At 42.2% G+C, this 23672-nt stretch overlaps 1 protein-coding gene and 1 pseudogene across 20 annotated transcripts in view; both read left to right on the top strand.

The window, feature by feature from the left end:
* RYR3 (ryanodine receptor 3) overlaps window positions 1–23672 on the top strand; it is a 555136-nt gene that overhangs the window by 363969 nt on the left and 167495 nt on the right. For all 20 annotated transcript variants that reach the window (XR_001751370.2, XR_001751371.3, NM_001036.6 and 17 more), the window contains 2 exons: window positions 21283–21556; window positions 22947–23061. Coding sequence is in view for 18 of the 20 variants with exons in the window: in NM_001036.6 (NP_001027.3) it covers window positions 21283–21556; window positions 22947–23061 (389 nt within the window). In the remaining 2 variants the exon portion in view is untranslated. The remainder of the gene's footprint in view (window positions 1–21282; window positions 21557–22946; window positions 23062–23672) is intronic.
* C1QBPP3 (complement C1q binding protein pseudogene 3) lies at window positions 18276–19316 on the top strand (annotated as a pseudogene).

Consider the following 23672-nt stretch of genomic DNA (forward strand, 5'->3'; position numbering starts at 1 on the left):
GTTAGAATATAGAACATCTTGAAAAATCCAGTGGCTATAGTCCCAGTTACTGGGGAGGCTGAAGCAGGAGAATGGGGTGAACCCAGGAGGCGGAGCTTGCAGTGAGCCGAGATAGTGCCACTGCAGTCCGGCCTGGGTGACAGAGCGAAAATTCTGTCTCAAAAATCCAGCAGCTAAACCGTATGCAGGCTTAGAGTGTTACTCTTTGTTATGCCCATGTATTTTGTAATATTTGGTCTCCCAGTTGTGGGGAGGGAGGGGCTAACACTTACGTGGTACCCACTTTGTCCTGAGCATTGTCTTGAGCACTTCCATAAATATTACCTCGTTTAATTCTCATGAGAACAATCTGTAATACACAATTCTATTTCTATTTTACAATTGAAACTGAAGTAAAGACAGAGTAAGTAACTTTCCAAAATCACACAGAGGTGGCATAAAACTTCAAAACTTTGTCAACCTGAATTCAACGCCCATCCTTGTCACTTATGTAATAACATCCTGCCCCCTATAGGCAATGGCTGTGAAACGGCTTAAGGACTAAATGATTAATTTACTTAACAGTACTGAGATAGTTATGAGCACAGGGCTCCGGAGTTAGGCTACCTAGTCTTAAGTTATTAACTTCTCCCAAAATTCATGATATCCAGGAGACTGAGCATGAGACAGCTTCTCTGTGCCTCAGTTTTCTCATCTATAAAATGGACATGGCATATACATACTTACCTCATTGGGTTGATATAAGCATTACATTAGTTAATATGTGCAAATTGCTTAAATGTGTGTCTGGCATATAGTAAGCGCTTAATTTTAACTATTTTTTGGCTATCGTTTGTTGATTACTTGCCATCTTAGGCACAAATCAAGCTGCTTTAGCAAGACAATAGTCTTTTAATTAATGATTTAGCCCTTACCAGCTTTGTGTAGCCCTCCCTGCAGCAGGGAGACATTGGGAACAGGAGCATCCATTAGGATTTCATCGCAGTGCTCTGGGTGAGAGGTTCTGAGGACTTGAATAAGGCTGGTATGGTAGCCAGGATAATTGCCCCCCAAAGATGTTCACATCCCAATTCCTAGAACCTGTGGATATGTTAGGTTAAATGGTCAAAAAAAATGCAGATGGAATTAAGAGTGCTAATCAGGAAATCTCGATTATTGGAGTTGACCCAAAGTAATCCCAAGGGTTCTCAAGAGTGAGAGAGATTGACAGAAGAGAGCCAGAGATATGCAACATGAAAAGGGTGTGGCTTAAATTTCCTGAAGGAAGGGGTCATGAGCCAACAAATGTACGCTGCCTCTAGAAGGTAAAAAAAAAAAAAAGGCAAGGAAATGGATTGTCTCCCAGAGCCTTCAGAAAGGATTGCACCTTGTCACACCTTGATTTCAGTCTAGATCTGGGGCAGACTTCTCATCTATAGAATCATAGGACCGGAAATTTCTGTTGTTTTAAGCCACTAAGTTTGTGGTAATTTGTCACAGCAGCAATAGAAAAGGTGGTGACAACAAAAAGTATTTTTGAGGTGTCAGACATGTTAGAGGTAGGGTTGCCATATCCTGGCACCCAGTTAGAAATGTGAAGAAGAACAAGGCATTAAAGAGAGCATTATAGTCGCCTGAGAGATGGTCAAGTGCATAATGGACATGCAGATGGGGTCAGTGTGGGAACAAGGGCAGAACTTTACTTTTATTTAGCTCCATAGAGGTTGCAAGAAGATTTTTTCCACACAGTCTGATTTGCCTTGACACCCTGCATGGCAAACAAAACAGATATCATTAGTCCTAGCTTAGAGATGAGGAAACGGGGACTCCGAGGTGTTAAGCAACTTGCCTACCTCACAGGTGGCAAAGCAGGCATAAAAACTCATTGTATTGGGCTCCTGGAATGGTGCTTCACAGTAATCGATGCTTAAAAAGTATTCTGTGATCTGTTGAATCAATCATTGTCAGGCCCTCTCTTTTGGTAGCCTGTGCTTTAGTGATGGGGAAGAGAGTTTGGTTCTCAGGAGAGAGAAAGTCGAACACTTAATTGAGTACCTCCTTTGTGCCCGGTACTGCGCTTGGCACTTCACCTTACCTCGTTTGATTTTATTCTCGCAACAAGCAACCAAGTATAGTGACCTCTAGGCTCCCATTTTATGCACTAGGCAACTAAGCCTGAGGGTAGAAAAATAATTCGGACAAAGTCTTGCAACAAGTAAGAAAAAGGCCAAGATCTGAATTGCATTCCGTATCCCGGACCCACACTCTTTCCAGAGCACCGGGCAGGGATGCCTGGAAAGGGGGCCATGGGGATGGAGAGAGGGGGATAGGGAAGCATGGATGTTTAGGGTACATGGCCAGTGGCTTGCCTCATAATCACTTATTCTCTATATTGAAACTAAAAAGCAATTCGATGACTTTCCCAGCTGAGTGAAGACAGAGGCCCGAGGTCCCTGAGTCCTTCGCTGTGCCATCTCTGCCTCATCTTTATTTCAGAGGCATCTCTCCCTAACACATCAGCAGACGCCCTCTGTCCTCACTGTGCTCTTTTCCCCACCATCATCATCGGTCATTTAATCGCCTACATGTATTGAAAAACTGATTATGAGGCTGGTTGACAGATTTCAAAAACAGGCTAATTATCTTAGTCTGATGGATGAAACCCCTTGGGACTCTAGAGCAGGACTGGCAGAATCAGGCTGCAAACACAGTCTTACTGGCTTGCAGGGCTGCCTCTGTCAGATATGGGTATCTGTATCTGTCTGGCTAGGGAAGCAGTTCTGGGAGTGAAGCATTTTGCTTCTGCTCTTGTCTCCATCCTTAGAGATGTGGAGGCTCTGCTCAAGGTAGAAAACCACAGACGGAGGGAAATTTAGAAACAGATTTAGCAGAAATACACACCTGTCACGAGCCTATCTAGACACAGCCTGTCCTGAGAGCCAAGCTCTGTGGGCCAGTATGACTGGGGCAGTTTTGTGGGATTCACAGCCAATCACGGATAGAGTCAGGAGGCTCCATATCCACTACGCCTTCTGGACACCACCTATTTATAGGAACTTAGATTTGTTTATTCAATTGAAGCGTTGCTTTGCCTAAAGAAACCATAAAGTGAGGCTTGGGTTAAGAAGGGCCATCATCGTTGGGGAAATTCCGTCCATGCCACACCTGTCTTGTCAGTTTTTACATGGTAATGATGAGGATTGAATGATCATTCAGGCACAGTAATAAAGAGTCGGACACAGGAAGCTCTTAGTAAATGTTGGCTATACTATTTGATATGGTTTGGCTCTGTGTCCCCACACAAATCTCATGTCGAATTGTAATCCCCACGTGTTGAAGCAGGGGCCTGGTGGGAGATGACTGAATCATGGGGGGGAGACTTCCCCCATGCTGTTCTCATAATAGAGTTCCCACAAGATCTGGTTGTTTGAAAGTGTATAGTTCTTCCCCCTTCATACGCACTCTCTCTCTCCTGCTCTGCCATGATAAGATGTGCTTGCTTCCCCTCTGCCTTCCACCACAATTGTAAGTTTTCTGAGGCCTCCCAGCCATGCTTCCTGTACAGCCTGCAGAATTGTGAGTCAATTAAACCTCTCTTCTTCATAAATTATGCAATCTCAGGTAGTTCTTTATAGCAGTGTGAGAATGGACTAATACATTATGATAATGAGAGGTAGGATGTTCTAGAAGGCAGTTTGAACTTTTATTCTTCAGCCAAGGAAGCCGATATAGAAAGATAGAAGTGTACATACCCAAAAATTAAATACAGACCTGAGATGTGTCCTGCTGTTTCCTGTGGAGCCTGGGGCCAGCCCTATACCATCACGCGCCTCGAGGGGTCTGACAGCCAGTGCCTGTTCCTGTGCCCTGATAACATGCTGTAAACAGAGCAGTTCTTCTTATCACCCAAGAACAATGCTCCGGGTTATCTTCACAGGTTTTTCCTTTGACTGCAGAGAGCCTTGTAACTTTATTCTGAGTAATCACAACATCCTTGTTCTAGCAAAATGAGGCCAAAATGGTACCTACTGCACAACCTGGGCCAGAGAGGCCCTGGGGAAGCACAGAGAAATTTGCATGATGAATTCTTCAAAAGTCCTCTTGAAGTCCATGGATTTAACTTTTTCCCTGACCTTCTCTGCTAATAAGTAGTAGATACTTGATGACTTTGTAATTCAGATCAGACTTTTGGCCTAGAGGATGCTCTAGGGCACAGACCACAGAGGGCATGAGTTCCCCTCCCCCCCGCCCCCTGTAAATCTTCCCTACTAAATCTAGAGGGTGTTATTGCATCACCTGACCCCTGACACAGGAAGCTTCATTTCTCTGCCAGCAATCAGGACAGTCATCAAAAAGGCCATCAAGTTGCCACAGCTCATCTCCTCGCTGTAAATGTTTAGTGATGTGCAGTGATGCTTTGATAATGGCCACTTACTCACCATAGTGAGTAACCACTGGAATTTTGAGATTTTATTTCTTCATCCTCAGGTTTTACTGTTAGGAAAAGCAAGCTGGGTACCATCAAAATAGGGCATTAAAATGTGGTGGTAAAATTCTTGATGCTCATTAATTTAACCCAATGAAGCCAAAGGCTTTCATTTGCCATTTTAGTAAACTGACACAACCCTTTCAAGAGCTCCATGGGTCAGATAGAAATAGAACCATGGAATATTAAGCCACAAGTGACTTGACTTCATAGAAGGGCACAGAGACACAGAGAGGTAGGTGACTTGCCCAAGGTCACATAGCCAGAACTAGAACAAAGGACTCTTATTCCCTGACCAGTACTCTTGTTCCCATACCACACTTACATTCATTTTCTTCAACATAAATTTTGTATTGCTAATTTCATTTTATTGGTGAAGAAATCAAGGCTCTGGGAAAATGAGTAATCTGCCCAGCTGAGAGTCAGAAAAAGAACTAAAGCTTTATGATTTGGGAGATTTTATTTCTGAATCCATTTTATGGTTTATTAAAAGAGCATCATCTAGATATTATAATATAAAGTTAAAGCATTAATAAAGATAACTGTTTTTCTGAGTTTTATGGAGCTATTGAGAGTAAACAGCTCTCAGATGGTCAGGTAGATGTGCTTAGATTCCAGCAGCATGGGTTTGAATCCAAACTCTGACATTCACTAATTGATTGTAATATTAGGCAACTTCCTTAACCTCTGTATATTTCAGTTTCTCTATATGAAAAATGAGAATAATAGTAGCTCCTATCCTGCTGAGTGGGGGCTAGGGAATATAAGGATTAAATAAAATAGTGCTCAGCTGGATGTCCTGGTACTTGGAAGTTTGTATACCTCAGCTTCTGAAATGAGTATACAAAGCATAGATCATAAGAACTTCATCTCCACATTTATCTTTTCAGATGCGTTCAGCAAACGAGCAACAGGAAGCCCAACTCAGGTAGAATAGCCATTAACAGATTTCACTGGCTGACATCTGTGAGTTTAGCGATGGAGCCAGCCAAGGACTGAGTTCATCCAGTGGCTCTGCTCACTCTCCAGGCAGTCATCTTGCTTCTTGTTCCAGCTTTGCCCTCGAGCTGGCAGAAAGATGGTGGCTGCAGTTCTGGGCCTCATATCCGTGCACTACAGTGTCCAAGGGAAAAGTGAGAAAGTTTATCCTGCCCTGGTATTGCAAGCAAGGATCCCGAGATCACTTTTGATTACAAAAACTTGGTCACAGGCCAATTCGTGTACCAGAGTGTGACCTAGAAAATGGAACATGCTAGTTGACTTAAGTCAACAGGGTCTATTTTTGAAATAAGTTTGGGTCATTTTACATTCCTGAGGAGCATAGGCTGTAAGTTGGAGAGGCAGAAAACTGTGCAAAAGCAGGGTTCTGTTAAGAAGGAAGAAGAGACAAACGGGTGCTATGTATGTGGTCAGTAATATTCATTATGCATGATGGTTACATCTTCAGCGTCTTTAATTTATTCAGGGGTAAATGTTGACATGCAGCCGGTTCTGGCTCGTGATTTTCAGAGGGAGAACAGGGCAAAAAGAAAAGCTGTGTTCTAGAAACTGGAGACTGTGCTGTCTGTAATCTACATACGTTACCTAATGGTGCACAGCAGTTCTGCAGTAGGTGCTTTCTGTGTTTAATGTCAGCTCTGGCTTCTCAAGAGCTCTGAGCCAGATTCAGGCAGACCTCAGTTACCTCAATAGCCCTGCAATTTACTCCAGCTGCCTCAACAATACATAGAAGACTGTATCTCTCTTGGGTCCCAGTTTCTGTGGGCACATTTGTCATGGCTTTCTAACAGAGACTCTCCAGTCTGGTTTGTAGCCTCAGAAAAGAGTTAACCATCCTCAACCCAAGACTTTCTTAACAGCTGGAGTACGTTAGTTTTCTACTGTTGCTATAGCAAATTATCACAAACTTAATGGTACTGCAAACAACACAAATTTACCTCTTACGGTTCTGGAGGTCACAAGTCAACAGTAGGCTAGTAGGGCTGCATTCCTTCTGGACTTTCTAGGGGAGAATATACATTTCATGCCTTTCCCAGCTTCTTCACATCTGAAAAGTCTCTTTTGTAAGGTAACATATTCATAGGTTCTGGTAATTAGGACATGGACGTTTGGGGGAGTTGGAGGGACATTATTTAGTCTACTACTGGGAGAAATAAAGTAGAGGTCAAAATACACTTGTTCTTTACACTTCAAAATTATCTACCACCTGTTCATGCCTCCAGAGCATTTACAGCATGCCACAAGCTGACTTTTCAATCACTTAGAATTTAAAAATAAGTGTACATCCTTTACATGCACATAATTATTTTTCTTTTCCCATTGTAATGTGAGCATTATAAATTGCTTTCTAAGTGTAACCTAAGTGTGGTGCAATTTTGTTTGCTCCCTCTTCTCAAAGTGATTGGATGACTTTTTCTTCCAAACTGACCCAGATTTAAGAGCACTCACAAAGATACAACACCAGCGTAGGTTTGAGATCTGTAAGCTGCAGGGATTTGCTTTGCCAGTGGCCAACCTCCACTCTTCGATCATAATGTACTTCATTGCGTGATGGCCACTTGGACTGTGATCTAAATTTGGAGGAAGAAATAAAAGATTATTTACAGACCCCTGCAGCCTAAACATTTAAACCTGCACCATGAAAATAAGTGACCTTTCCTTTATGGTAGTTGGCATTGCAAAGCTGGTTATTTTACCATTTAAAAAGGAGTTACACCAACTTTGGTAGGTGAATCTTTAGAGAATTTCTCATAAGGGTCACACATGGTGGGCTTGGTTTCTAAAGTCAGAGCAGAAAGTTACAAAACAACAAGTGGAGCGCAATAAACAACTTAACAATGAGTGACACCTGGACTCCAAACTGATGTACTAAGGCTAGCTCAAATTTAAAGACCCTCTAACTCTTTGTTATTATGTAAAAGGTCTGACTAGTCCAAAAATTAGGTAATGAGTAGGTTTTTTTTTTTCCTTTTTGAAATATCCCTCAGGCATCAAGTCTCCCTAAACAATACAGTGCCTTGGAAATATTTCCATTCTGAGTTAGCCTGAATAATCATTTAAAATGCAGCTTATACATCATATATTTGATATCATTGCCTTAATGTGACTACCCCTAATTACGCTAATTGCAAAAGTGAAGTGAATTAGAATGTTAATAATAATCTCATAAATGAAGCCATTTATAATTATCAAGGAAACCATCTGTACATGACTAGCTTCCCTAAGACATTCTGTTCAAGAGCATTTGCTTTATTTCTCATCAGAAAACATGTGCCTGGCAACATATTTTTCTTTCTTGTCCCTTTTTGAAAAGAACAGTATATTGTAATCCCATGAACCGAACCATCGAGTGCACTTGGCAAGGCCTTCTTGAGATTCTGCTAAGTCAGTGCATAAAAATCCTAGAGATGCAACAAGGTCTGCTGAGGCGTCCTTACTATGTGTGGTGGTTCTGAGTGGGGTTAAGTGGTGTGCACATGCATGTGTGTGTGTGTTGAAAGAGTAAGACGGGCCATACCTTGTGGCAAATGGTAGATTTAACCTCTTCACCTCAATGTCATCTTGCTTCTGATGGCTGTCCCACTTTGAGAGTCATGTTTCCTTTTTTTTTTTGAGATGGAGTCTCGCTCTGTTGCCCAGGCTGGAGTGCAGTGGCGCGATCTTGGCTCACTGCAAGCTCCGCCTCCCGGGTTCATGCCATTCTCCTTCCTCAGCCTCCCGAGTAGCTGGGACTACAGGCGCCTGCCACCATGCCCGGCTAATTTTTTGTATTTTTAGTAGAGATGGGGTTTCACTGTGTTTGCCAGGATGATCTCGATCTCCTGACCTCATGATCCACCTGCCTTGGCCTCCCAAAGTGCTGGGATTACAGGTGTGAGCCACCGCGCCCAGCCGAGAGTCATGTTTCTTATGAATACTGAAGTATTTTGTAGTCACTAAAGGGTAGCATTTCTAAAGATGAACTCAGTAAAGCAACAGAAATAAAATCAGTATTTAGTTGTAACTCTTCTTAACATCTCTAATGCTCTTTGTTTATGAAAGAGATTCATGTATATTCACAAGAAATAAGTCCCTCCATTGCTGTTTGAAAATCCTACCAAAATTGGGGAGTCCATTCCAAGATGGCCAAATAGGAACAGCTCTGGTCTGCAGCTCCCAGCATGATTGACACAGAAGACGGGTGATTTCTGCATTTCCAGATGAGGTACCTGGTTCATCTCACTGGGACTGGTTGAACAGTGCGTGCAGCCCATGGAGGGTGAGCCAAAGCAGGGTGGGGCATCACCTCACCCAGGAAGCACAAGGGGTCGGGGGATTTCCCTTTCCTAGCCACGGGAAGCCGTGACAGACTGTACCTGGAAAAAGGAGAAACTTCCGCCCAAATACTGCGCTTTTCCCAAGGTCTTAGCAACTGGCAGACAAGGAGATTCTCTCCTGTGCCTGCCTCAGCGGGTCCCAGGCCCACGGAGCCTTGCTCACTGCTGGAGCAGCAGTCTGAGATCGAATTGCAAGGCGGCAGCCTGGCAGGAAGAGGGGCGTCTGCCATTGCTGAGGCTTGAGTAGGTAAACGAAGCAGCCAGGAAGCTCGAACTGGGCAGAGCCCACCACAGCTCAGCAAGGCCTACTGCCTCTATACACTCCACCTCTGTGAGCAGGGCATAGCTGAACAAAAGGCAGCAGACAACTTCTGCAGACTTAAATGTCCCTGTCTGACAGCTCCGAAGAGAGCAGTGGTTCTCCCAGCACAGTGTTTGAGCTCTGAGAATGGACAGACTGCCTCCTCAAGTGGGTCCCTGACCCCCATGTAGCCTAACTGGGAGACACCTCCCAGTAGGGGGCAACACACACCTCATATAGGCAGGGTGCCCCTCTGGGATGAAGTTTCTAGAGGAAGGATCAGGCAGCAATATTTGCTGTTCTGCAGCCTCCACTGGTGATACCCAGGCAAACAGAGTCTGGAGTGAACCTCTAGCAAACTCCAACAGACCTGCAGCTGAGGGACCTGACTCTTAGAAGGAGAATTAACAAACAGAAAAGAATAGCATCAACATTAAAAAAAAGGACATCCACACCAAAACCCCATCTGTAGGTCACCAGCATCAAAGACCAAAGGTAGATAAAACCACAAAGATGATTATCCAGGAAAACTTCCCCAATGTAGCAAGGCAGGCCAACAATCAAATTCAGGAAATACAGAGAACACCACAAAGATATTCCTCGAGAAGAGCAACCCCAAGACACATAATCATCAGACTGACCAAGGTTGAAATGAAGGAAAAAATATAAAGGGCAGCCAGAGAGAAAGGTTGCGTTACCCACAAAGGGAAGCCCATTAGACTAACAATGGATCTCTCAGCAGAAACCCTGCAAGCCAGAAGAGGGTGGGGGCCAATATTCAACATTCTTAAAGACTTTTCAACCCAGAATTTCATTCCAGCCAAACTAAGCTTCATAACTGAAGGAGAAACAAAATCCTTTATAGACAAGGAAATGCTGAGAGATTTTGTCACTGCCAGGCCCGCCTTACAAGAGCTCCTGAAGGAAGCACTAAACATGGAAAGGAACAACCAGTACCAGCCACTGCAAAAACATGCCAAATTGTAAAGACCATTGATGCTATGAAGAAACTGTATCAATTAACAGGCAAAATAACCAGCTAACATCATAATGACAGGATCAAATTCACACATGACAATATTAACTTTAAATGTAAATGGGCTAAATGCCCCAATTAAAAGATCTAGACTGGCAAATTGGATAAAGAGTCAAGACCCATCAGTGTGCTGTATTCGGGAGACCCATTTCACGTGCAGAGACACACATAGGCTCAAAACAAAGGGATGGAGGAAGATCTACCGAGCAAATGGAAAGCAATAAAAAGCAGGGGTTGCAATCCTAGTCTCTGATAAAACAGACTTTAAACCAACAAAGATCAAAAGAGACAAAGAAGGCCAATACATAATGGTAAAGGGATCAATTCAACAAGAAGAGCTAACTATCCTAAATATATATGCACCCAATACAGGAGCACCCAGATTCATAAAGCAAGTCCTTAGAGACCTACAAAGAGACTTAGACTCCCACACAATAATAATGGGAGACTTTAACACCCCACTGTCAATATTAGATCAACGAGACAGAAAGTTAACAAGGATATCCAGGAATTGAACTCAGCTCTGCACCAAGCGTACATAATAGACATCTACAGAACTCTCTACCCCAAATCAACAGAATATACATTCTTCTCAGCACCACATTGCACTTATTCCAAAAGTGACCACATAATTGGAAATAATGCACTCCTCAGCAAATGTAAAAGAACAGAAATCACAACAAACTGTCTCTAAGACCACAGTGCAATCAAATTAGAATTCAGGATTAAGAAACTCACTCAAAACCGCACAACTACATGGAAACCGAACAATCTGCTCCTCAATGACTACTGGGTAAATAACGAAATTAAAGCAGAAATAACGATGTTCTTTGAAACCAATGAGAACAAAGACACAACATACCAGAATCTCTGGGACACATTTAAAGCAGTGTGTAGAGGGAAATTTATAGCACTAAATGCCCACAAGAGAAAGCAGGAAAGATCTAAAATCAACACCCTAACATCACAATTAGAAGAACTAGAGAAGCAAGAGCAAACACATTCAAAAGCTAGCAGAAGGCAAGAAATAACTAAGATCAGAGCAGAACTGAAGGAGATAAGAGACACAAAAAACCCTTCAAAAAAATCAATCCAGGAGCTGGTTTTTTGAAAAGATAGACCGCTAGCAAGATTAATAAGAAAAGAGAGAAGAATCAAATAGACGCAATAAAAAATCGTAAAGGGGATGATATCACCACCAATCGCACAGAAATACAAACTACCATCAGAGAATACTATAAACACTTCTACGCAAATAAACTAGAAAATCTAGAAGAAATGGATTACTTCCTGGACACGTACACCCTCCCAAGACTACACCAGGAGAAGTTGAATCTCTGAATAGACCAATAACAGGCTCTGAAATTGAGGTAATAATTAATAGCCTACCAACCAAAAAAAGTCCAGGACCAGACGAATTCACAGCCGAATTCTACCAGAGGTACAAAGAGGAGCTGGTACGATTCCTTTGGAAACTATTCCAATGAATAGAAAAAGAGGGAATCCTCCCTTACTCATTTTATGAGGCCAGCATCATCCTGCTACCAAAGCCTGGCAGAGACACAACAAAAAAAGAGAACTTTAGACCAATACCCCTGATGAACACTGATGCCAACATCCTCAATAAAATACTGGCAAACTGAATCCAGTAACACATCAAAAAGCTTATCCAATCAAGTTGGCTTCATCCCTGGGATGCAAGGCTGGTTCAACATACAGAAATCAATAAATGTAATCCATCACATAAACAGAACCAAAGACAAAAACCACATGATTATCTCAATAGATGCAGAAAAGCCTTCGACAAAATTCAACAGCGCTTCATGCTAAAAACTCTCAATAAACTAGGTGTTGATGGGCCTTATCTCAAAATAATAAGAGCTGTCTATGACAAACCCACAGCCAATATCATAATGGGCAGAAACTGGAAGCATTCCCTTTGAAAATCGGCACAAGACAGGGATGCCCTCTCTCACCACGCCTATTCAACATAGTGTTAGAAGTTCTGGCCAGGCCAATCAGGCAAGAGAAAGAAATAAAGGGTATTCAATTAGGAAAAGAGGAAGTCAAATTGTCCCTGTTTGCCAATGACATGATTGTATATTTAGAAAACCCCATCATCTCAGCCCAAAATCTCCTTAACCTGATAAGCAACTTCAGCAAAGTCTCAGGATACAAAATCCATGTGTAAAAATCACAAGCATTCCTATACACCAATAACAGACAAACAGCCAAATCATGAGTGAACTCCCATTCGCAATTGCTACAAAGAGAATAAAATACCTAGGAATCCAACTTACAAGGGATGTGAAGGACCTCTTCAAGGAGAACTACAAACCACTGCTCAATGAAATGAAAGAGGACACAAACAAATGGAAGAACATTCCATGCTCATGGATAGGAAGAATCAGTATCATGAAAATGGCCATACTGCCCAAGGTAATTTGTAGATTCGATGCCATCCCCATCAAGCTACCAATGACTTTCTTCACAGAATTGGAAAAAACTACTTTAAAGTTAATATGGAACCAAAAAAGAGCCCACATTGCCAAGACAGTCCTAAGGAAAAAGAACTAAGCTGGAGGCATCACACTACTGATTTCAAACTATACTACAAGGCTGCAGTAACCAAAACAGCATGGTGCTGGTACCAAAACAGATATATAGACCAATGGAACAGAACAGAGGCCTCAGAAATAACACCACACATCTACAACCATCTGATCTTTGACAAACCTGACAAAAACAGGAAATGGGGAAAGGATTCCCTATTTAATAAATGGTGCTGGGAAAACTGGCTAGCCATATGTAGAAAGCTGAAACTGGATCCCTTCCTTACACCTTAGACAAAAATCAATTCAAGATGGATTAAAGACTTAAATGTTAGACCTAAAACCATAAAAACCGTAGAAGAAAACCTAGGCAATACCATTCAGGACGTAAGCATGGGTAAGGACTTCATGACTAAAACACCAAAAGCAATAGCAACAAAAGCCAAAATAGACAAATGGGATCTAATTAAACTCAAGAGCTTCTGCACAGCAAAAGAAACTACCATCAGAGTGAACAGGCAACCTACAGAATGGGAGAAAAATTTTGCAATCTACTCATCTGACAAAGGGCTAATATCCAGAATTTACAAAGAACTCAAACAGATTTACAAGAAAAAAAACAACCCCATCAAAAAAATGGGCAAAGGATATGAACAGACACTTCTCAAAAGAAGACATTTATGGGGGGCTGGGCACGGTGGCTCACACCTGTAATCCCAGCACTTTGGGAGGCTGAGGCAGGGCAGATCACGAGACAGGAGATCGAGACCATCCTGGATAACATGGTGAAACCCCGTCTCTACTAAAAATACAAAAAATTAGCCAGGCGTGGTGGCGGGCACCTGTAGTCCCAGCTACTTGGGAGGCTGAGGCAGGAGAATGGCGTGGACCCGGGAGGTGGAGCTTGCAGTGAGCCAAGATTGCGCCACTGCACTCCAGCCTGGGCGACAGAGCGAGACTCCATCTCAAAAAAAAAAAAAAAAAAAGACATTTATGCAGCTAACAGACACATGGAAAAGTGTTCATCATCACTGGTCATCAGAGAAATGCAAATCAAAACCACAATGAAATATCATCTCGTGCCAGTTAGAATGGCGATCATTAAAAAGTCAGGAAACAACAGATGCTGGAGAGGATGTGGAGAAACAGGGATGCTTTTACACTGTTGGTGGAAGTGTAAAGTAGTTCAACCATTGTGGAAGACAGTGTGGCAATTCCTCAAGGATCTAGAACTAGAAATACCATTTGATCCGGCAATCCCATTACTGGGTATATACCCAAAGGATTATAAGTCATGCTACTATAAAGACACATGCGCACATATGTTTATTGCAGCACTATTCACAATAGCAAAGACTTGGAACCAACCCAAATGTCCATCAATGATAGACTAGATTAAGAAAATGTGGCACATAAACACCATGAAATACTATGCAGCCATAAAAAAGGATGAGTTCATGTCCTTTGCAGAGACATGGATGAAGCTGGAAACCATTCCCAGCAAACTATCACAAGGACAGAAAACCAAACACTCCATGTTCTCACTCATAGGTAGGAATTGAACAATGAGAACCCTTGGACACAGGGTGGGGAACATCACACACCGGGGCCTGTTGTGGGGTGGGGGAGGGGGGAGGGATAGCATTAGGAGAAATACCTAATGTAAATGACGAGTTGATGGGTGCAGCACACCAACATGGCACATGTATACCTATGTATCAAACCTGCATGTTATGCACATGTACCCTATAACTTAAATTTAAAAAAAAAATCCTACCAAAATTGTCAGCATTCTCCCATGGATACTATATATATATGTACACACACATGCACACATACACACAGATGCACACACACATACAGGTACTTTATGTATGAATCATCTCTCTAAGGAACATAGCATTCCAAAATAATCATAGCAAAGCATAATGTCTTTTTCATCAGATCATTTCTGGTATCACTTGGAAGGCCCCTCTTTTAACTTCCTGATAGAGCTTTTTCTTCCCTGCTTCTTTAGTCTCCATGTAATGGAGGCTTATTCTAGAAATATAAAAAACTTCAGATAAAAAAAGCCATTGGAAGAAAAGAGGGAGATCTTATTGTTTCTCTTCTCTAGTTTCTTTTGAATATATGTGTTACTATAGGAGTTATACCTTCTTATGAATTGTCTTATTTCCTAATTGTCTGAGACAACACAGTTTTACTCATTATTTTACACTTTATTTTTTATTAAATGCCTCACATGTGTTAGTTTCTCCAACTAGGCTGTAGTGGGTAATAATTGTGTCTTGAAATAGTTTCTTGTAGAGTACTTAACCTTGGGCATGTAACAGATACCCAGAAAATGCTGGTCAGTTAAAAGCTAACTTAGAGGTGGCACGACTGGAGTTAATTCAGCTATTCAGATGAAGATAGGCAGAAACTTGTGAATTGGTGTACGTCCTGAGTCCTGGACACATATCAACTTCAGGGCAAAGCCTTCTATAGTTGACAGCTCTGGTTTCCAGTATTAATAAGAGCAAAGTCATTGCTGAAGGATCAGCTAATGTTGGGGACAAAGAGTTAAGTGCCTCCCTCTCCAGCCTGCAGCCCACCTTTGTGCGTGTGCAGAGCGGGCTGAAGAAAGCCATGCAGCCTCAGCATAATACAAGCCTGGCTCCCTCCTTGCTTAGAAGATGACTGTTCTTAAGCCCAAATTCAGGAGAAAAAAAGCATTAGGAGCCCTTCAGGCTAGCAGGTTGCCCTTTGGTGATGAATGAATAATAGCCAGGGCCCTTGACTGCCAGGATTCAATTTTCAAAATAATGATTCTTTAATCCTCACTTTATTTCTCAATGTGAGGTGTCTTACTCTTCTTATATGAGATACTCTTCTTACATGAGATATTCTTCTTACGTGAGATGCTCACATTTAATCTCGTACATACCTGCCTCCCATTCAGAAGTAAACATGGAAAGCTTCCTCATCTGTAGCTTTCTAGGTTCATGTCTCAGCTACTTGATCAGAATCATGCAGCCTAATGGAACAGGTTTCATCTTAGCTGGAGGGAAAGCTTTGGTTTCCAATCACAGCCTCACTTCAGCATAGGCCCTTTTATATAGATCCGTGGTTCTCAAACCCTTTGGTCTTGGGACCCCTTTACACTATTGAAAATTACTGAGAACCCCAAAAGCTTTAGTTTATGTGGATTATATCTATCAGTGTTTACCAAATTTAAAATTAAAATTGACAAATATTTAAATATTTATTAATTTAAAAATAAAAACCTTATTACATGTTACATAAAGATACTTTTATGAAAACTAAATTTTTCAAAACAAAGTGATATTTCTTTGCATGATTATAAATCTCTTTAATGTCTGACTTAATTGAAGGCAGCTGGATTCTTATATCTGGTTAAAGAATAGGAAGAAAAATGGCCTTAAATACATAATTGGAAGGGTAGTAGTATTTTTCATAGCCTTTTCCAATAATTATGGATATTCTTCTGTAAAACTATATCTGAACAAGTAGTAGTTTCTGAAAAGTTAGTTGGCATGTGGAATCTGAAACCATATTAACTAGATGTCTGTACTTTGTTATGTAACAATTCATTGGTCTATCTTGCACATTGAATGGATCTTTTACCTAAGAATGTTTTTGTAATGTCATTCATTGATCATTGAGAGATTATTGGTTCGTTGAGTTAATAAGAACTTCAAAATCTTGACACATTTCATTATAAAATAGTTTAAAAATCACATTTGTTAGTATAGACAGGTTAATCAGAAAAGTCTTTAAGTACTGGGAAGCTGTCGAGCTCCCAGTGGCAGCTAAACATTTTTCAAAATTCTGATTTTCACTTGAAAGGTCAAATTTCATTATTGGCAACAAATACTATCACTTGAAGTGAAAGGCTTACTTTTTTCATTTTTTTCATTTCATTTTTTTCATTTGTTCAAGTTAACCATAGTTTCTTATTCTTTAATTAAAAATGGCATTCATGAAATAAGCAGCTAGTTCAGCTCACAACTCCATCACACAAGTACTTTTCCTCCAGAAAAAAACACTGAACTTTAATACATAGCAGAAGTGCTTTACTTCTTTTCTTTCTCTGTACCATTCTATCACAGAGGATATTTTAAAGATGTAAACTCGAGAGTTTATGATTAATAAAATTAATAATTTTTACTGCTTTATTCAGGACATCCTTCTGTGAAACGCATTTATCTGGAAGTGTGGCAATAAAAAATATAGTTGGGTGCTGCTAACTCGATTCAAGCTAAGGCACAAGCAGTTTTACTCAGCATTGCTTTTGCACCATCAGTGCAATTATCAACACGATGAAAAAGGCCAACAATATCTTAGAATTTTTATGAAAACACATTTGGACTTAAAGGGTATCTAAAGGGTCTTGGGCCCCCAGGGCTCTGCAGATCACATTTTTATGACTCTTGGTAGAGATGTCAGTAATAGTTCACCTTTATTAAACCTGCAGTATGTGCCATCCATGGTTATATGCATTAATTACTTTAATCATCAGATATACAGGTATATGGAGAGCCTAACACAATCTAGAAAATGTATTCTTTTTAACTTCTGGACTCTGGTATGTTTTGGCTGCTCTGCTGCTGATGCACGGGAGCTAATTAAAATCTGAAGAATTTTTAGTAGCATTGCTTGCTAGGGGTATAAAGCTCCATTTTCTCCATCCCAAAAGTGTTTAGACCTTGAGAAGTTCATTGGTTGTGCCTGGGTTTGCTTGGTGGGTCCTGGGTCTCTAGTATATGTCAGATGACAAAATATGTTGTGCTTTTCATGGCTCCTGAAAATGTCCCCTTCTGCCCCTCTCCCCCTGAATTTTATTTCTTTTCATAGTTATTGTTTCTCTCACTTACTGCACCTTGGTCTCACAATTTGAAACATTTTCCAGTACATATGGCTTTAAATGTCAGGCCTTCCATGGAATTACATCTGCCTGTCAGCAACACAGCGGTAAGTCTTGCCTCCTTTTCTGGCAGGACCTGGGGACTACTTTTTTTTTTTTTTTTTAACTGTACTTCAGCTTGGTCACACATAAATATTTATCCCGTTCTCTGACACTTACTTTGAAGGCTTGCCTGGACAAAGAATGGAGTGGCAGGTGTTTGCTGCTTCATGCTTTGAGGCTAAAAGGGTGTTTTCTTTCCCATTTTGCCCTCTAGTGAGGTGTTTTGCTTTACATGCTCTCTAGGCCATAAATATTTGTTTGGATTTTTGAGTCAGTGTGAGGCTAAGAGCTTACCCAAATCCTGAATTAATCTGAAAGCCAGGTTAAAGGAAACTCATATGTACTTGGTTTTATTATGATTCTGTAAAATTCTCTGTTGAAGAGAAGATGGTCCTTGAGCAGGTTAGCAATTCCACCAGATCTGATTATTGCTTTTCCAGTGTGGCAGGGACTGGGATAGCATGTATTATATCTGCAGAGAATTGTTTTGTTAGTCGTGAGAACTATAATTCTTTCAAGCCAAGGTATAGGTTTTAGAGGAAATTGTACTGACGGGACTAGAAAAACTTAAATTGGGTCCAAGAGTCTTTGTTTTTGTCTTGCTTTCCTTCTTACTACGTAAGTAATAACTAGGAGTGCATCCATACGTATTGGTGGTCGCCTCTGTGATGCTGCATGCCTGGTGCCCCGGGCTCTGCAGTTGCTGCCCTCCATGCTACCATGCCTGCGCCACCACTCCAGCAGCGCCCAGGTCCTGTGCCCGGCCCTTTGCGCTGCTCAGTGTGCATGTGTATGGGGTCTGCATGGCAGCCTGGCCTCCTGGGGCCTCCTAGGCCCTCCTACGCCCTGTGCCTGGGGCTACAGCGGCTGTGCACTGCACACCAAAGGAGACAAAGCTTCTGTTGAATTCCTGAGTGATGAAATTAAGGAGGAAAGGGAAATCGAGAAGCATAAGAGGCATTCCCTCCCTAAGAGGTCTGGAAGTTGGGAGCTAGAATTTAAATGGAACAGAAGCTAAATTAGCGTGGCAAGTTGCCAGGGGAAAGATCTCTGTCACTTTCAACATTATCAACAGCATCCCACACACATCTGGTGGTGAGGAGGAGCCCTCCCAAGGGCTGTAGGTTGCAGAATAGGATTCTGAATTGACATCAACTCCCACTTTCATAGTTGAAGTTATGAAGAATGATAGCAAGAAGGTCCTGGTGCTGACTGTCACTATCAGAGGATGAGTTTGGACAAGAGCAGGTGGAGAGTAACATTTTCTCCATCAAGGATGTTAGCTTTCAGTCCAATGGCAAGTCTGGATGTTAGGGCACTAGTACACACTCAACACAGAGTGCCCGGACTAGGCCCTGTATTATTTCTTTGAGGACAAAGGGGTGGAAACGCTTTTGTGGATGGGTTGGTGGAGCTCAGCACAGTTCCGGAGCACCAGGAGGACGTTACTTTTCTTGAAAATCTCAAAAGTTTTGTCAAGGACCAGCAGAGTAGACAGACACTGAAAGCCCTAGTTTTCTGGCAGGCTTTGGCCAGCGAACAAATCCTACCATGAAGCCAGGCACTATCATCCTAATATCATGGAAAAAAAATAGCAAATTTAAATTATTTCTTTTGTGCTCTCATTTACTATTCATTTGCTTTTTTCTGTACAAATCTATTATTACTAGTTTTTGTTTTTTTTTTTTCAAGACGGAGTCTTGGTCTGTCGCCCAGCTGGAGTGCAGTGGTGCAATCTCAGCTCACTGCAAGCTCCGCCTCCCGGGTTCACGCCATTCTCCTGCCTCAGCCTCCCGAGTAGCTGGGACTACAGGCGCCCTCCATCACGCCCGGTTAATTTTTTGTATTTTTAGTAGAGACGGGGTTTCACCGTGTTAGCCAGGATAGTCTCCTTCTCCTGACCTCGTGATCCACCCACCTCGGCCTCCCAAAGTGCTGGGATTACAGGCGTGAGCCACTGCGCCTGGCCTAGATTTTTTTGAATAATATGACAGACAATAAAATTAGGGTTTCTCCTCCAAAATATATACATGTGAATTAACCAGGAGATGCAGGAACTTTTATATTTGGACTCTGAGGAAACAGGTTTCTGACAAGGAGCCCAGCATAGCCCTTAAATGACTTTGCCCCTAGAGGATACAGATATTATCTAACCTAACAGGTATTAGTCTGCAGTCCCTGCCTAGTGAGGTCTCTTGAGAACATCCTTTAACTGTGCTTCTCTCTGACTTGGGTGTCCTTTTTTAAGGTTCTCAGTTTATGTGTCCCATCTGAATCTAACACACCGACAGGGTTGATAGACACAGCAGTAAGTTAAATTAATCCATTACATCTAGGTCTCTTTTAAAGCTTGGTAACTGAGTTCTATTTTTATATCCTTACGATGAGCCAAGACTGTATATAGAGCAGACATCTGCCATCTATAGTGATGTGGAGTAGAAACCTCAACTATTAGAGATGCCACGGGCTACCAGAAGCACTGATCTGTTTACTCCCCTTTCTTTCACTGATTGACTGAGTGACCTTCATTGTCCCCTTGGCACTGCCTGGCCTGAATTAAGGATCTTCCTGCCATCCATACCTTGTAGGACTGTGATATGCAGTGCCAGGGTAGGATGCATTTGTGATTTAAGAGCAGCATGTCTCACCTCTGTCATCTTCTGGAAGTGTGGATGGTAAGGGAAGGGGTAAGCAGTGCCTTCCCGGCCATTCCAACAGGTCCCCTTCCTCCTTTACCTCCTATGCCAATGCCAATCAGCAATTTTCAGGGGCTTTTTAGTATAACCTCTGAAGGTTCCACAGCTGTTTTGAGTCCCAGTTCAGTGATCTTTCCTTTACTTGTATAGACAGTAAAATTTCCGTAAAACCAGTATGAGCCCCAATAAATTCTGAATTCAAAGTCACTGTGGTTTTTTTCTCTTGATGCTTATGAGAGGAGTCCAAGATGCAGTGTCAGCTGACTCTTGCCAAAGATCCAGTGCAAAAAAAGGCTGTTCAGACTTTAGGATGATGCTCAGATGTCCCGTTGTAAAGCCTTTAGATCTGTTCTCTCAGCCCAGTGTGGATGCAAGTATTGTTTAATCAAAATAGAATAGTTAGCACCCTCAACTCATAATTGGGATATTCTTTTATTGTTATATAGCCGGTTTATTTGTCTTTTGATGATATATTCTACTTCTGTGCATGTCATAACCCACCCTTAAAATACAAAAAAAAAATTTTTTTTTTTGAGACAGAGTCTCACTCTGTTGCCCAGGCTGCAGTGCAGTGATGCAGTGGTGGCTTACCGCACCCTCAACCTCCAAGGCTCAAGCAGTCCTCCCACCTCAGCCTCCCAAGCAGCTGACTACAGGCGTGTGCAACCACACCCAGCTTTTTTTTTTTTTTTTTTTTTTTTTTTGGTAGCAACAGGGTCTCGCTTTGTGGCCCAGGCTGGTCTCAAACTGCTAGGCTCAAGAAATCCTTCAGCCTCAGCCTCCCAAATTGCTAGGATTATAGGCATGAGCCACTGCACATTGCCTATAATAAGAATTTTGTAACCTCAACCAATGATGTGTCTTCTATTTGCATGAAGTGGCTGAAACACCCAGCTCTCCCTGAGCCATGACAGCCACAGTCCTGCTCCCTCCTGTTGTCCTTCCAGCAACATTGAAGGAACTCATCTCACAGACGATGATCTGCTGGGCCCAGGAGGACCAGATCCAGGATTCAGAGCTGGTCCGAATGATGTTCAACCTCCTCCGGAGGCAGTATGACAGCATTGGGGAGCTGCTGCAGGCGCTGCGGAAGACCTACACCATCAGCCACACCTCTGTAAGCGACACCATCAACCTGCTGGCTGCCCTGGGCCAAATCCGCTCCCTCCTCAGTGTCAGGATGGGCAAGGAAGAGGAGTTGCTCATGATCAATGGGCTGGGGTAGGTGATTCACGGTTACGTGCTGTTCTCTCTAGGAGCTTTAAGTGGGAAAACTGACTTACCTTGATATAGAGATATAGTGGAATCAAATCATATTAAATCTTTGTGTGAACTGATTCCAATTTCACTCCTCATGGAGTCATATCCTTTGCAACCTGAGAGACCCAACTACTCACAGTGAAAGGCATTGCTAAAAGTATGGAGGAGTCTTGGGGAAAAGCAGTTACTTGATTTTAATCTTTTGAAAATAGCCCCAGGGAGCCCATGAAAACATCTGGAGGAAGGGACGGTGTGTTCAACCCAAGACAGAAATGATCTGAGCACCTGAGCTTTTGACTCGAAATCTTCCGAAACTTCCCTCTGAAAAATTGCCACCTGATCTCTCCCTTTTCTCAGGACTAACCTAGAGTCGTTTTTGTTAGTTCATTGAGATAACTTTCCCCTTAACAGTAGCTCATGGCTCTCCCTTAGAAGCCATGTAGTCAAAAAAAATTCATAGCATTTTAGACATCAAAAGGGTTTCCTATAATCACGTAGGGTAGCACTTCTGTTTTGCAGATGAGAACACCAAGGCCCAAAAAGATTCACTAACCAGCCTACAGTTTTACTTTATTAGAATCAAGAACTAGACCTACAGACAACCTCCTACCTAACTTTTCATCCTACCACCCTTGAGCCAGCATACCAAAGGAGCATCACCAAGGTGCAGGAAAGGGACCTTCAGGATCCTTGGAGGGAAATGCACTCATTCGTCAAACTCATTTCCAAAGAGAAATCTTACATAAATGAAGCGACTTTTATGGGAAGACAATACAGTTAGATAATTATTCTCTCCCCAGCCTTCGTAGTAGACATAGCAGAAGTAAAAACTGGCAATTGGAGGTGGTGTTTCCTGCAACCCTCAAGAGAAGGGGAATGGGCAGCCAGAAAGTAACCACCCAGCAAGGGAGTACACAGCAAATTACCAGGCTGTTTCTGTATTTTGATTTGCATGCAGCTTTACTCTGTGAATTTATATTGGATGACTTAAAGATGTAATTGTTCTTACATCTTAATGTCGTGAGTTTTTAAAGACTATTGTCCAAAAGCTTCATTGATATCTAAAATTATTACAAGAAAAAATAAAACAAGGGATGTTTAATAGGTCATCAGAAAGAAATGTTTCAAAGAGAAAAAGCAAGTACTTAGAAATAGAGGAGCACAGAATATTTCAGTCAGCTAAAATGGCCCTCCACATATATTCCAGCTGAACTAGTGCTTTCTTATTATCTTTTCAGCCTGTTACTTTCATATTATTTTGCCCTCTCGTGTGTTTGTGTGTTCTCATCCCTGAATTTTCATAGCATATAAATAAGCAGGTGCTGAAGACTCTCTCTGATCCTTATCCTAGAGACATAATGAACAACAAGGTGTTTTACCAGCATCCCAACCTCATGAGAGTCCTGGGCATGCACGAGACGGTGATGGAGGTGATGGTGAACGTGTTGGGTACAGAGAAATCTCAGGTAATGCTAAAAGGAGAACCTAGCCAGAACTTGTCCCTTGAGGCAGGAGCACGAGGTGACTTGTTCAGAGCCACGTGGCTGGTGTCCCTTGCCTCAGTTTCTCTTCCAGGGAGAGGAAGGGATAGGCACAGTGCCAAGAAGGAGCCAAGCGATGGGATAATGCTGCTGGACGGAATCCCATTGTGTAAGAGCTCTTGAAGCTTGGAGACTTTCTTCATTAATCCCACTGGGCTATTCAGTTGCTAAGTTTACTTCCCGTATTCGGCAGCCCTGCTCTTTCCAAGATGGAATCACTCACTTCCACTTAGGAGCCTGGTGTGTTTTGTGCTGAGTCAGGAGAAGGCTGTTCTAAAGGAGAACAAGATCTCAATAGTGATCCTGGCAGTGTTTCCCCAGAAGTGTTGATGTTTCCTCTGTCAACCGAACTCCTGAAGAAGCCAGGTTTCCTTGCCAGCTCCCTCATAAGGAGCCCGCATCAGGGGGAGCTCCTGTTGCTAAGGGGAGAGTTGTGGGGATAGGACACAACTGGACATTTATCCCAGCTGGGCTGGGGACCTCCTCACGGTTAAACTGCTTCCACAGGCAGTAGATCGGGTATGGCTTCAAATGTT

The sequence above is a fragment of the Homo sapiens genome, chromosome 15 (assembly GCF_000001405.40).
Source record: "Homo sapiens chromosome 15, GRCh38.p14 Primary Assembly".
Lineage (NCBI taxonomy): Eukaryota > Metazoa > Chordata > Mammalia > Primates > Hominidae > Homo > Homo sapiens.